The sequence below is a fragment of the Homo sapiens genome, chromosome 18 (genome assembly GCF_000001405.40).
Source record: "Homo sapiens chromosome 18, GRCh38.p14 Primary Assembly".
In the NCBI taxonomy this organism is placed as follows: Eukaryota; Metazoa; Chordata; class Mammalia; order Primates; family Hominidae; genus Homo; species Homo sapiens.
Genome location: NC_000018.10, coordinates 9,730,958 through 9,745,678, shown reverse-complemented (window position 1 = coordinate 9,745,678; position 14,721 = coordinate 9,730,958). Strand labels below are relative to the sequence as shown.

The following is a 14,721-nucleotide window of genomic DNA, read 5'->3' as shown; positions in this document are numbered from 1 at the left end:
TTTCCCTCTTTCTATTAATATGGTGTATTACATCGATCCGTTTTAGTATGTCAAACCACCCTTGCACTCCTGGGATAAACCCCATCTGGTCATGGTGTATAATCCTTTTAATATACTTCTGGGTTCAGTTTGCCAGTATTTCATTCAGGATTTTTGCTTCTATATTGTAAGGGATATTGGTCTATAGTGTTCTTGTAATATCTTTGTCAGGCTTCATCAGTATAATGCTGGCCTCATAAAATAAATTAGATGTATTCCCTCCTCTTCTATATTTGGAAGAGATTAAGAGCAACTGATGTTATGCTTCTTTAAATGTTTGGTAGAATTTACCAGTAGAGCGATCTGGTCCTGAGCCTTTCTTTTGGGAGGTTTTTGATTACTGATTCTCCTTACTTGTTTTAAGTCTATTCAGACTTTCTGTTTCTTCTTGAGACAGTTTGGTAGTTTTGTGTGTCTAGGAATTTGTCTAATTCTTCTAGGTTATCTAACCTGTTGGCTTACAAGTGATCATAGTATTCTCTTATAATCTTTTTCATTTCTGTAAGGTCAGTAGTAATGTCCCATTTTGTTTTTAATTTTAGTGATTTACTTCTTTTCTCTTTTTTTCTTAGTAATGTAGCTTAAGGTATGTTGATTTTGTTGATCTTCAAAGAACCAACTTTTGGTTTCACTGATTTTCCCTATTATTTTTCTATTCTCTATTTCATTTCTCTTCACTCTGTATTTCCTACAATTTGTAACTTTGAGTTTATTTTGCTCTTCTTCTTCTAGTTCCCTATGTTGTAAAATTGGGTTATTGATTTGAAGTCTTTCTCTTTTTTTAATGTAGGTGTTTATGGCTATAAGTTTCCCTCTGAGCACTGCTCTGAAGTTTTGGAATGTTGTGCTTTTGTCTTCATTCATCTCAAGGTAATTTCCAATTTCCATTGTAATTTCTTCTTTGACTATTGGTTGTTTATGAGTCTACACATTTTTACAATATTAAGAGAAAAACTTCCAATGTCTTAAGCCCTCAGGATTAATTCATTCTGCTTTTTGCATCCAAGTTCCTCTTGTTAGGGCCCATTCTTGTCACTGGTTAACCAGGAAGCACGGTGCCTTTGTTATTTTTAATAGGGACCATAAAATATTACGTTAAAAATAATAATCAAAGGTAAAATCAACTCTCATACAGATACAAAATGAACATGTCAAAGATTTTATTGACTTCACCATTAATTAGGGAATTAATAAGATGTTACAACCAGTTAAAAGGAGAAGTCAGAGAAGCATAAGTATATATGGAGTAAAGGAATGTTGAAATGAATTTACAAATACGAACTTTGCTTTTCCTACGGCTTGGAGGGGGTCATTTTAGCCATGCTAACAGACATTTTTGCATGTCTACAGGCAATAGTTATTTTGCATTGCTACCAATTACCTACAACTTACGGAGGTATGAAATGGATCAAAGGCTACAATCAGATACCTTGGAAGGGTATGCTCTACACAATGCATAGTTTTCCACTGGAAATACTCAGTAATGTTTTCTGCTAATTCCAAATTTCCTCCTACTATGACATGGAAAATAAAAAGAGAAAAACTAAAGGTGTGGATGAGAACAGAAATTCATGGAGGCAACTCCACCGCTAAATAAAAATGCAAACTAAAATGAGGAAAGATTAATGCACCCACTGTGCCCCATGATTAAAGCACCCACTGCGCCTACAGGGTCATATAGAGGAGGTAAGTGGAGCCTGGGACCACAGAAGATGGGTGAGGGGATGACAGTGAAGTGAGTCAGCTGCCCATCTTCCCAACAGGCACAGACCGCACCCGGGAGTCCACAGTTAGATCTGTCTGCAAACTGAGACCAACAATCAAAAGACAGAGGTCCTGGAGGTGCCAAAGGCAGACAAATAAACAGACTTGGCTGCAAGATGGCGAAACATGGTGCTGCGGTGGCTTCAGCCAAGGTCTCCCTGTGGCTTCCCAGAGGGTGGTGGTGACTCAGAGTGTGTCAGGGATGATTAACAACTGGTTTTGCATGTGGCCTGAGAACGCAGATCCCCTGAAGCCCTGGGGCAGGAAGCATATCCGGGAGGGCCGGACCCAGGAGCTTTCCCAAACCCACCCAGCGCCCAACTCCATGTCCATCTGGGAGCTGTGAGAGGGTGGCAGCTCAGGTGCTACCTCCCTAACCAACTAGCCCTCCAGTGAATCAACCCGCCAGGAAATCTAGAAAATAACAGTAACTTTAAATACTTTTCAGATAGGCACTATATAAACATTGAGGTATTATTATTTGAATTAAGGCAATACTTTATTTTCAAGGGATCAAGATGTTTATAATCCAGGTATTACACTATCTGTTTATTTTCAGTAACACACATATTGTTTTATAGCTTTCGAGTACATTTAAGTTATTTGTACATGTGTTAATCATTCTTCCTCAGGTGCTGGTCATGCCTATACAGGGAAGGTGACCAGACAGAACTGAAGAAATAAAAATCAAAAAATTCAAGGAAAATAAATTATTTCAAGCAAAACTATTTCAGTCAAAAGCAGGTCTAGGGGCTGAATTCTTAAAGCTTTGCCGCATGTCCTCATTTCCCTTGGTACAATGGCATTTCAGAGCCTGTTTACACTGCTTTCTAAATGGACAAGTCCAAACCATGTTTGCTACAGTCCGAGAACATCAACATGTTGAAAGACAGCTTTGGTTTTTTAAAATCCTACTGTATTTCATTTGCGACTTTGAAAAACATTCGTGCTTTAGTGGACTGGATTTTTTTTAAAAAGAAGAAGAAGGAAAAGAAGAAGGAAAAAGAGCCAAGTTGTGGCTCCACCCCTCTGCCACTTGCTGCCGTGAGCTTTCCTGTTCCATTTCGCTGGGGAAAAAGCACTCTGCACAGGTCAAGCCAAACTGTCCGGAGAAGGCGTCTGCACTGCTCATGAGTAAAAGAGAAGGATTTCATTCCCTTTCCTTCCCACATCAAAGAGGGCACTCAGGGAGGAAATAAACTGTAATTGGGCATGAGCCAGCAATCAGACAGCCCCCTTCCTCAGCCTTCCCCAACCCTGCCCCTCCAAAATAAAACAAATAGACATTATCCTCATCTACAACATTTATGAATAGAAACATCTTTTATTAGAAAACAAAAAGCCATGAAGAAGAAAACACGTAGAACGTCCCTAGCGTGGAAACAGGCCGAGCCAAGCAGCCCCCACACTCAGGCTGGCGCTGAGAACTGAGGCCCCTTCCTGTCGGCTTGAAGGGGACTTGCTATTCCTCTGTCTCATTAGCATGTCTTTGCTCTTCCGGACCATCCGCCCAGACAAATGGGAGGACTGTTCCTGCCAGGAACTTCCCTGAAGGCCCATCCACTCTTCAGTAGGAAGCAGTAGAAGTTTGCCCCTAGGAGTCTTTGAAGTCCTCGAAACCCTTGCTTGCTGTTTCCACCAACTCTGCGCTGCAATATCGCGATTCTTACCCAACCCTCACCAAGAGCCTGCTTTGAAAGACCGCCTTCAATCACAGTTGCAACTCTCAATCCAGTCTGACCTTGCCTTCCCACTTCGAGCCCTGCCAGTGCTTTGCCGGGTGGTCTTCCCCAAGACAACAGTGACAGTCAACTCAACTCTGTCTTCTCAACGGCCAGTGCTGGGAGGGCTGGGGACAGCGTGAGACAGGACAAAGGGCAGACAGCAGCAGCCCTATGACACCACAGGCCAGGCAGCCACTTTGGGAAGCCACTGACTCACATTTCCTGGCTCCCTCTGGGTCCCTGGGGACCCTGCCACACCAGGAAACCTGGATGAGGCAGTGGATGAGGGGTATGTCCCGCTCATAAAGCAGACAGAGGAACCGCATGGGAAGTGAGGCGAGCATTTCCAAATGAAATCTCCACCCTCAATGGCAGGCCTGGGTTCCTGTGAAAAGTCAACGGCCCCTGAGGGGGCTGCTGGAGCAGCAGGACAGCCTAGCAGTGGCCTCCACCCCTGCCCACAGCCCTGAGATCCAGCCGAGGGCTGCCATGGACATGTACGTGCTGCACACAGGCTGAGAGAGGCTGGCACTGGCGCAGGACAAGTGGTCCTGCTGGCCCCTTCCTCCCAGCACAGAAAGGACTTCCCACTGGACAGATGGTGCGTGGCTGGCAGGAAAGCTCCATCAGCTCTGACTCTGCAACTCCAGCCCTTGTGATCCATCCACGGTGGTATTGTCTTGGTCACTTAGCACTGACACCCAATTCTGAAGTTTGCCACAATCCAGGGGTGCCCAGAGCAGCTGCCTTTTTTTTTTTTTTTTTTTTTTTTTTTGAGACGGAGTTTTACTCTGTTGCCCAGGCTGGAGTGCAGTAGCGTTATCTCGGCTCACTGCAACCTCTGCCCCACCAGGTTCAAGCAATTCTCCTGCCTCAGCCTCCCTAGTAGCTGGGATTATAGGTGCCCGCCACCACACCTGGCTAATTTTTGTGCTTTTAGTGGAGACGGAGTTTCACCATGTTGGCCGGGCTGGTCTCGAACTCCTGACCTCAAGTGATCCGCCCACCTCGGCCTTCCAAAGTGCTGGGATTACAGGCGTGAGCCACCATGCTGGGCCTAGAGTGGCTGCCTATTACACTATGCAGCACACAATGCCCCAACAGGAGTCACCAGCCTCAATGCAGCCCCTGCCAGGGGTTTTCCCAAGTCCAGCATCTTACACAATAGGGTCTTGTTTTAAGAACCCAGAGGCCACTTACTACAAGCAAGGAAGGCATTGCAGTGTGCGCTGCTACTGCTGACATATCAAAGCCCCCTGGAGGCACCTCTGCCATTAGAGACCCCTGTGCAGCAACTTCCATATGTCATTTCCCAAGAAAACCTGTTTTTCTGTTTACCCCCTTTATTCTAGCATTGGTATGATGTGGACAGAAGATGTGTGAGCACAGTATGATCTGCTTCTGGGTAACATTAACCCACCAAAAGAATTTTTTTTTTTGAGACAGAGTCTTACTCTGTTGCCCAGGCTGGAGTGCAGTGGTGCAATCTTGGCTCACTGCAACCTCCACCTCCCAGATTCAAGCAATTCTCCTGCCTCAGCCTCCTGAGTAGCTGGGATTACAGGTGTGCGCCACCACGCCCAGCTAATTTTTGCATTTTTAGTAGAGACAGGGTTTCACCATGTTGCCAGGCTGGTCTCGAACTCCTGACCTCAAGTGATCCACCTTCCTCGGCCTCCCAAAGTGCTGGGATTACAGGCGAGAGCCACCACGTCCAGCCAAAATAATTTTAAATTTTGCATTTGGAGAAGTATAAATAACTTTACTGTAAAGAGGTGTCATCCTGATGCAATAATGCAAATTAAATCAGGCTCTGAGCAAATTAACTTGTTTCACTGGAAGCGTTAGGTAAGTAGATGATTTCTATGATTCATCCTATAGAGGAAGGAACAAAGGAACTTTTACTGAAAACTCATCATATGACTGGCATTATCCTGGATGTTCTCAAAATACTTGTTACAATGACTTTGTGAGACAGTTATCATTACCAGTGAATCGGAATGTCAGAGAGGCTCAACAGCCGAACTGAAGGCCACACAAACAGCAAGTGAGGGAGTCAGGATTCATCCATTAGGCTGGTCTAACTAGAATCATAGAGCTCCTCTCGTCACCCCAGGGTCTGAGGTCAGAATCAGCTCCAAGTTTGCAGATCAAAGCTCTAGCCAAGGAAGACACAACTGGCCTGGCAGTGTCCTCATTGGAAAATAAAAGATGCTTAGGAGAGAAACTGCTGGGGCTCTGTGATACTCACTCTCCCTTTCAACTATTAGAAAAAGAACCCTGAGTTTTAGCTGGGCCCCTGGTTACCCAGCTAACGATGACATTTTCCCATCTTCCTTGCAGTCAGGGGTGGCCATGTGACCAGGTGCTGGCACACAGGACAGGAGAGTATACAATGTGATGACCCCACAAGCCACCAAACAAGCCCTGAACCAGCCACCAGGAGGACTGAAAAAGCTGAAGTCACTATAATCTGGGATCTCCTGTTTCAGCAGCTTAGTCTGTATCCTCATCAATACAGTGTATCTAAGAAACTTAAAAACCTGTGCTTTACTCTCCATAGGCTAAGAATCATCCAGATAGTTTGTTTACTTTTTTTTTTTTTTTAGCACATTACATCTTCCTAAGCAGTAAATTCATCCTGCACCCTGAGTCTGAATTCTTACAAATTCTTTTTTTTGAGACAGAGTCTCCCTCTGTTGCCAAGACTGGAGTGCAGTGGCACAATCTCGGCCCACTGCAAGCTCTGCCTCCCAGGTTCACGCCATTCTCCTGCCTCAGCCTCCTGAGTAGCTGGGACTACAGGTGCTCGCCACCACACCCAGCTAATTTTTTATTTTTAGTAGAGACGGAGTTTCACCGTGTTAGTCAGGATGGTCTCGATCTCCTGACCTCATGATCCGCCTGCCTTGGCCTCCCAAAGTGCTGGGATTACGGGCGTAAGCCACCGTGCCTGGCCAAATTCTTAGAAATTCTAAGGCAATGAAATCCAAATTTACGAGATGTATTTATATAGTATGCAACTATATCATGCATTACAATCCATTTCTTTAAACTCATATTCTTTCCAGTGTTTTTATTTGGAACATGCCACCTGAGTAGAAAAACAAAATGTTTTTTCTCCTAGTCTACTCTCACAACACAAAATGCTTCTGTGACCAAATGTACAGGAGGTTTTCCCCACACACCAAGCAAGCCACTGATTCTTCAGCGGACACCAGCGTTCTCTAGTTCTCTGAGTGTTCTCTAGTTCAACTCAATTGTGAAGCTACCTACCTGGAGATAATGTCAGATCCCACAGCGGGAGGCTGAGTCCTACAAGGCTGCCTCCTCCTACTCCAGAGGCCTAGCACAAGGAGGAAGGTGTCCTGTGCTTCTGATTGATGGGCTGCAAATCAGGGTTCCCATGACCACTTCCTCAGGTTTGATTAATTTGCTAGAGTGGCTCACAGAACCCCGGGAAACACTTACTGACATTCACCAGTTTATTATAAAGGATGTTACACAGGATGCAGATGAAGAGACTTGTAGGGCAAGGCATGTGGGAAGGGGTGTGGGACTTCCATGCCCTCCCCAGTGTGCCCCTGCGCCGCCCTCCAGGAGCCTCCACATGTTCAGCTATCCAGAAGCTCTCCAAACTCACCCTTTTGGGTTTTTATGGAAACTTCATGACGTAGGCATGCCTGATTAAACCAATGGCCACTGGTGATCAACTCAACCTTCCGCCCCTTCCCTTCCCTGGAGGTCCCTTCCCTGGAGATTGGTGGTGGGGCTAAAAGTCCCAACCCTCCCATCTTGCCTTGGTCTTTCCTGTGACCAGCCCCATCCTAAAGCTACCTGGGGGCTGCCAGCTATCAGTCCATCATGAGCAGGCAAAAAATACTCTTTGCTCCAGAGATTCTAAGGGTTTTAGGAAACAGGGATGAAGACCAAATACACATTTCACAATATCCCACCACCCACCCCACAGTTAGCTCCTCGCCAGGGGGTCTGTCTGCCACACCGGTCTTGCAGTGGCCCAGGCGGCGTTAAGTCATTGGAACCAGGGCTGTGCTTGCACCGCTGCCTTCCATGATGCACTTGGCCTTCAGCTGCTGCATCCACGCTCACCCATTAAAGGCCCGTGGGGTTGCCACAGCAGCAAGCATCATTTAAATGCCGGCCGGCTGGCTGCCTGCCAGGACCACGTTGTTGGTAAGCCTGTCTTGTTGGTTAGCGTGGGGGGCAGACAAAACTCTCTTTATGACCATTCAGTAACAAGAGCTTTTAAAAGCAGAAGGGGGTGGGGTATCTGTTAGAACCCTCTGACCTATTTAGAGACCCCTGCTTGGTTTCCTTATGCTATGGACTATTTCAGCCCCTCCATGCATAACCAACCATCATTACTTGAGATTCTGTAATGGGCATAGGACAATTTGCTCTAGCCTGCAATTTTCTGCCGTCGTGACAACCTTTTACCAATCCAAGATTGATTCACTGTGACACCTGGTGCTAACCCATGACCAGAATAATAAACACAAGCAATTCACTGTGGCGACTCATTTCTGCAGAAGAGCCGCAGGAGAGGAGGACAGTCATCTGCTCGTTAGTGTAGCAGATAAGTAACTGCATTATTTCCCCGCCCAACACCAAGCAGTGTATGGAAAACAAATGGTTTCACAAAGGAAAAACAGCTTTATACTCTAAATATTGAATTGCAGATGCTCTATTATACCACCGACTCAGCCTCTACTACAATGTAAATATATTTATATTCTACATAACTATACATTTATATTACATATTTACATCATGTATGTTACATAAGGAAACAGTGTGTGGGTGTGGGGGTGTGTGTGTGTGTGCACGTGTCACCTGCTACAGAGGCATGGCTGGGGTGAATCTTAAATTAAAACAGATGGAATCGCCAGCTATGCTGACAAAAAAGACTGCTATAGAATTAAACTGACCTATGAAACTGTGCTTTTTGTGGTATCTGATTGGAATTTTTATGGGCTTGACCTTGTCGCAGGGGCAGAATCTGTCATCCATGGAAAGTCATAAAGCTGAGTCACCTTGGCACACTATTCAAAACTCATTAATCGATTCTCTGCTAGACACAGAAATCTATTGATCCATTTTTTAAATTGGTACATAAAACATTTATAAGTGCAAATACATAATAAATTTTAATAGCTATTTGAAAGAGATAATACATATTTGAAAACAAAAATAACGAGTCCTTGCCCCTACCACCCAATAACATCTGAAAACACTCACACCAAAAGCTTTTCAAATGACAGGGGCAAACTTGGAAATTTACCACAAAAGAGTACTGTGCTTTTAAAATAAATTAGCATCTTCTAATACGAATTACACAAAATTTACAAAGCCAAGTTTTTTTACCACCACAATCTGAAGGCTTTCTAGAAACTGTAGGCATAACCCACTTAAGACTTCTCTTGCTTTCGGCAAATCTTATTATTAATAAACATTTGCTGAATTGACTTTGGATATTTAATGGGATATTACACACTGAGCAAATAATTACAAAATACTCCCAAGAGGAATGCCATTATTCTGATGTACAGAGTTGTCAAGGGGTTTACAAATGAACCAAACCAAATTCACATACACTGGGAAATCTCAGCTTTGCCAATCAACAAATGAAAAAAAAAGGGAGGGGAGAGGGCAGGGGCTTCCCCACAGTCACCAGAGAAAGTCCCTGCACTCCAGCATCCAGTACCCTGAGCATCATCTGGGAGGGAGGCCCAACCAACTCTGGTCCTCAAAGGTCTGGACAGGGAATAAGATCAGCAGCAAAAGTGGGCAGCGCAATTCTAGGGCAACGGTTTTAGGTTTAGGATCTAAATGCTAGAATCAAAAGGAAATGTTTTCAGGCTAGGCATGGTGGTTCACATCTGTAATCCCATCACTTTGAGAAGCTGAGGGGAGAGGATCACTTGAGGCAAGTAGTTCAATACCAGTCTGGGCAACCTAGCAAGACCCTCTAAAAAAAATTTTTAATGAAAAATTAGCCAGGCATGGTGGTGTGCACCTGTGATCCCGGCTACTCAGGAGGCTCAGGCAGGAGGGTTGTGTGAGCCCAGGAGTTCCAGACCAGCCGGGGCAACCTAGTGAGACCCCATCGCTGCAAAAATTTTAAAAATTAGCCAGGCTTGGTGGTGCATGTCTGTAGTCCCACCTACTCAGGAGGATGAGGCAGGAGGATCCCTTGTACTCAGGAGTTCAAGACTGCGGTAAGCTATTATCTCACCATGGCACTCCAATCTGGCTGACAGCAAGACTCTGCTTAAAGAAAAACATGTTTTCATATTGGCAAAGAAGATGTTACTGATTTTCTACATCAAAATGATAATGAAAGAAAAATTCCCCTTTGCCCAAGCTGATCTCAAACTCCTGGGCTCAAGCGATCCTCCCACCTCAGCCTCCCAAGTAGCTGGGATTATGGGCATGCACAACTGTGCTCAGCTTGCCCGTTTTTAAAAGGAGAAATAGGTGCTCAATACCTTAAGAGACTTTGTAGAAATCTTCCTCTTTTGTCTGACATGCCATCCAGACTGAGGAAGAGCCGGAAACTTCAGGGCCACACGAGCCACGGCCATGGCCACATCACCGAGTGCGGAAGCACCGTGGAGGCTGTGGTAATGCAGGTGGTGTGCACCACCACAGGATCAACTTTGACAAATGTCACCCAGGTTATGTGGGAAAGCTGGTGTGAGGCATTACCACTTAAAGAGGAAACAGAGCTTCAGCCCAACTGTCAACTTTGACAAACTGTGGACTATGATCCGTGAGCAGACACAGGCAAATGCTGCTAAAAACAAGACTGAGGGCCGGGCATGGTGGCTCACACCTATAATCCCTACACTTTGGGAGGCCAGGGCAGGCGGATCACTTGAGGTCAGGAGTTCGAGACCAGCCTGGCTAACATGGTGAAACCACGTCTCTACTAAAAATACAAAACTTAGGCAGGCATGGTGGCAGGCGCCTATAATCCCAGCTACTTGAGAGGCTGAGACAGGAGAATCACTTGAACCCGGGAGGCAGAGGTTGCAGTGAGCCGAGATTGCACCACTGCACTCCAGCCTGGGCGACAGAGCGAGACTCCATCTCAAAAAAAAACAAAACAACAACAACGACGACAACAAAAAACCACCGCCACCACCAAGAGGCTCCTCCCATCACTGCTGTGGTGCAACTGGGCTACTATAAAGTTCTGGGAAAGGGAAAGCTCCCAAAGCAGTCTGTCATCATGAAGGCCCAATTCTGATGAGCTGAGAAGATTAAGAATGCTGGGGGGCCTGTGTGCTGGTGGCTTGCAGCCGCAGGGAAGGAGGTTCATTAAATGCTAAATACTTTTTAAAAACAAAACCAAACAAAAAGAAATGGATATGGAAAGAATAAAACCACACACAACTTGTCTCTCACCTGGCACACAGTGCTGAGGCGCCAGAGACTCGAGTCCTTCCCCACCCCACTGCTCCCCCGCAGGGGTGGCTCCTCGGGCCCCGCTTTGTTCATCGTATCCGGGATCCTTTCTGCACCCTGCCTGCCTCTCCTTTCTGCTGTTCCTCACCTTCACTAACAATTCACCCCTCCACACCTGCAGATAGGCTCCCCAGGCTGCCAGGCTTGGCTACAGTCATCCTCTCGGCTCACCCTTAGCTCACTCACAACTTAAACTCGCAAGGTTTTGCCCATGTTCTCCTCGTTAGGTATGTAACGCTTCCTGTCCGTGTTCAGGAAAGGCAGCGGGTGTGGTGGCTTCACAACACAATCGCTGGAGTCCATAGGCCAGGAGGTAAGCACAGGTCCTGCCACTTACTGGCTGCGGGGCCCTGAGCAAGTATTTAACTTCTCCAGGCTTCCATCTCAATTGCACAATAGTGACAGGAAGAGCAACACCTCACAGGGCTGTGACAGTGCAGGGAAGGAGTTCGTCCAGTGTCAGTATATAGAGTGCGATAGATACTAGCTCTTATGTACCTGAGGACCTGAGTGCATGACCTTAGTTTAGCCTTCCTCCCTCCCTCCCTCCCTCCCTCCTCCCCGCCACCCTGCCCCCCAGCTTCCATCTCACATAACTGGACACAGGCTCCTGACTACAGGGCATGCCTCTCCCATGTAACAGAACACATTTTCTCCCCTCTTTACATTTGTATTAATAGATACTCCCCTCTTTTCAGTTGGGAGGAATTTGACCCATGCCAGCAAAATTCACTTATTTTTACCAACCAAGCCCCCCCTCCCCAGTAACCATGCCTCCTATTTTTTTTCTAGTCTCTTCTTTCTAAGAGCTACTGCATCAAATTTCAAGGATCACTAGAAAACAACGGTACAATGTCTCTGAGGGAGTCTTGAGGGAAGGATGGGCAAGGGTTTGCAGGCAACGGAGAGGCTGGCTGCAGAAGGGCTGCAGGTGGTGTCTGAGCCCAAGAACCTCATCAACAGAGCAGGGAACCAAGGCCGTGGTCCCAGCAGTCTTGTCCACACCCACCTGTGGACCGAATCCTGGAGGGAACCAGAGCCCAGGAAAATGGAATGAGGCTTGGAGTTTGGATTGGGTCTCCAGGCACAGAATACGAATGAGAATTCTAGGCCGAGCTATTAAGCAGAATGAAGGAGAACCTGGGCTTCCAGAATGCCTGTGGACACTGAAGGGTGGGACAGCTCTGGGAACAGGAAGAGCCATCTTCCAGGACACCTGTCCCTGGTCAGCCTGGAAGCAAGCAATGCTGGAGCCACACTGCAGTCAGGGGTCGTCATTTTGTCCCTCAGAACATACACCATATATGCCACATCTGCACACGTCGGATGGTTCTAACCTGGTGGGAGGAGTGACTCCCTCACAGCTCACTGTTTGGGAAGAGGAAGGATCCAGGATCTAGGATCATTTCCAATATATTGCATGTTAAGCTCAATTTATTCCTAACTTATAGACTCACAATTCCCACTGAATTAGCAATTTCTGGATTAGCTCCAATGGAAGTGATCCCACTCAAACCAAAGTGGAAAAAATAAAGATTTATAGCATGGAAAACACCCAAGTGCTGTGCGCAGTGGAAACTGTCTAACTCGCCATTCTATTTGCTTGTTTTCTACCACTGATCCAAACACATCAGCATCCAGAGCCAGGTGCCACCTGGTGAAAGCTCAGCTCATCACCATTGCTTCCCTTAACCTACCCTCAAGTTTCATTCCTTTAAGCATCCTGCAGCAACCACCAAGTGAATTCAATATAGGTCATGCTCCAGGTTATTATGCTCAGTAAGATGAGCATTAGCACAGACGATGAAAACTCACAATACACTCAGCACCCAGCAAAACTCTTGTGTGTTTACAGTGGCTCAGTCAATACTGTTGCATGAGGAAAGCAATGCATTCAGACTCCAGCCCAGGGTGTTCACGGCACCCTGCAAAGTTCAGCGCCAACCAGCTGATTCCTTCAGGGAATTTTTAAATTTGTCTGAGATGCTGTCACTTTATCATGACAGTTAAGGGGAGAAGGAAAAAGAAGTCCTTGCAGTAGCACCAAGCACTAGGGAGAGGTTGGAGACACGGCTGTGGTGGAGAGCATGGGCTCTGGTGTCAGACAAGCCTGGGTACAAGTTCCAGGACCCACCTCACTGCATGCCCACACCTAACCCGCTAACAGGGCCGTTGTGAGGACCAGAGATTGTGAACAGAGCACTGAGCATGAACTAATGTCACCACAGGGTCTAATGTATTCCAGGGGAGGATTCTGCCCTCTGCTCACCTGGCTACAGCCCTGCCCTGCTGCAGTGGGTGCAGGACTTGGGCCTCTGGGGAGGTTTCTCTGGAGACAGAGCAGACCTAGGGCTCTGATGAAACCCCTGCCCCAGGGGCCCAGCCTCATCCGGTGACCGGCCCTCTCCTTGTTGCCTGCATGCGTGTGACTCCACGTCCCCCTGGACGAAGATGGTCTGGTACCTGCATAGGCAGAGCAGAGCCCATGCTGGATGAACCCAAGAGCTCTGAGGGCATTACTAGTGACTGGTGCCCCTGGGGAGAGGAGTGGCAGAGCTGAGGGAGACGGAGGCTGGGCATCGTTTCTCGCTGCTCATCCTGTGTGTCTTCTGCATTTTGTCCTCTGCGCATGTAAATATATAAAAGAGAAAGTGAATGAAAAATGCAAGCCTACCTTTGCAAATGTGTGCACATTAAAATTTGTCTGAGTTCAATTCCTATCTGTTTGGGTGAGGAGCTTATTATCATAGATAAAAAGCAAATTCAGGCCAGGCATGGTGGCTCATGCCTGTAATCCAGGCACTTTGGGAGCTGAGGCAGGCAGATCACTTGAGGCCAGGAGTTCGAGACCAGCCTGGCCAACATGGCAAAACCCTGTCTGTACTAAAAATACAAAAATCAGCTGGGCGTGGTGCCACACGCCTGTAATCCCAGCTACTCAGGAGGCTGAGGCAGGAGAATCGTGAACCCGGAAGGCAGAGGCTGCAGTGAGCCAAGATCACACCACTGCACTCCAGCCAGGGTGATAGAGCTAGACTCTGCCTCAAAAAAAAAAAAAAAAAAAGCAAATTCCCAGAAAGGTTCTCATCTTTACATCATCACACAGGAATCACCTTGTGAGATCCACTCAGAAAGGGCAGATTCCCTCCCATACAGTTGAATCACTGGTTACCCTCATGACCACTGGCAAAGCCAGCATGGATGAATCAACAGCAGAGAGAATTTTATGTCACCTTGCACAAGTTAATTTTCTAACATAACGATTCTCTCTTTTACTTTATTCTGTCCAAGCACCTGGTAGAGGTAATAAATTATTTAATGTCCAAAAAAACAGCAAAATGGAAGAAAAGACCAAGGGAAGCTTAGGGAAGACCTGACAATGCCAAGTGGTTAAACTGCCCCAAAAATAAAAGAGCCAGCTTGTAGCTGGGCACATATCTGTAGTCCCAACTACTCGGGAAGCTAAGGCGGGACGATCACTTGAGTCCAGGAGTTCGAGACCAGCCTGATCAACACAGTGAGAACCCCCATCTCAAAAACAAAAAACTGGCTTGATATGCAGCTATGTGAAACAGCAGATATGCTGTTAAGAAGACAGAAGCCAGATGGAGCAGAGAAAGAGCATTCACTCACCCTGTGGTTCTGACTTAGCATGTAGTGAGGCTCACATGGAACTCTCAAAACTCAAGAGTTGTTGGCTACA

The 14,721-nt window shown here is 46.5% G+C and overlaps 1 protein-coding gene across 1 annotated transcript in view, besides 2 other annotated features; it reads right to left on the bottom strand.

Moving 5' to 3' along the window:
* RAB31 (RAB31, member RAS oncogene family) overlaps window positions 1-14,721 on the bottom strand; it is a 154,251-nt gene that overhangs the window by 116,873 nt on the left and 22,657 nt on the right. The window lies entirely within an intron of this gene.
* Window positions 1,853-2,147: an enhancer, noted in NCBI's record as "tiled region #12333; HepG2 Activating non-DNase unmatched - State 4:PromP, and K562 Activating DNase matched - State 5:Enh". NCBI's record gives its function as "activates a minimal TATA promoter and a strong SV40 promoter by Sharpr-MPRA in HepG2 and K562 cells {active_cell/tissue: HepG2 | K562}" and the evidence as "EXISTENCE:reporter gene assay evidence [ECO:0000049][PMID:27701403]".
* Window positions 10,578-11,077: an enhancer, noted in NCBI's record as "H3K4me1 hESC enhancer chr18:9734599-9735098 (GRCh37/hg19 assembly coordinates)". NCBI's record gives its function as "activates a minimal SCP1, AML or CMV promoter by ChIP-STARR-seq in primed H9 embryonic stem cells {active_cell/tissue: H9 hESC(primed)}" and the evidence as "EXISTENCE:reporter gene assay evidence [ECO:0000049][PMID:30033119]".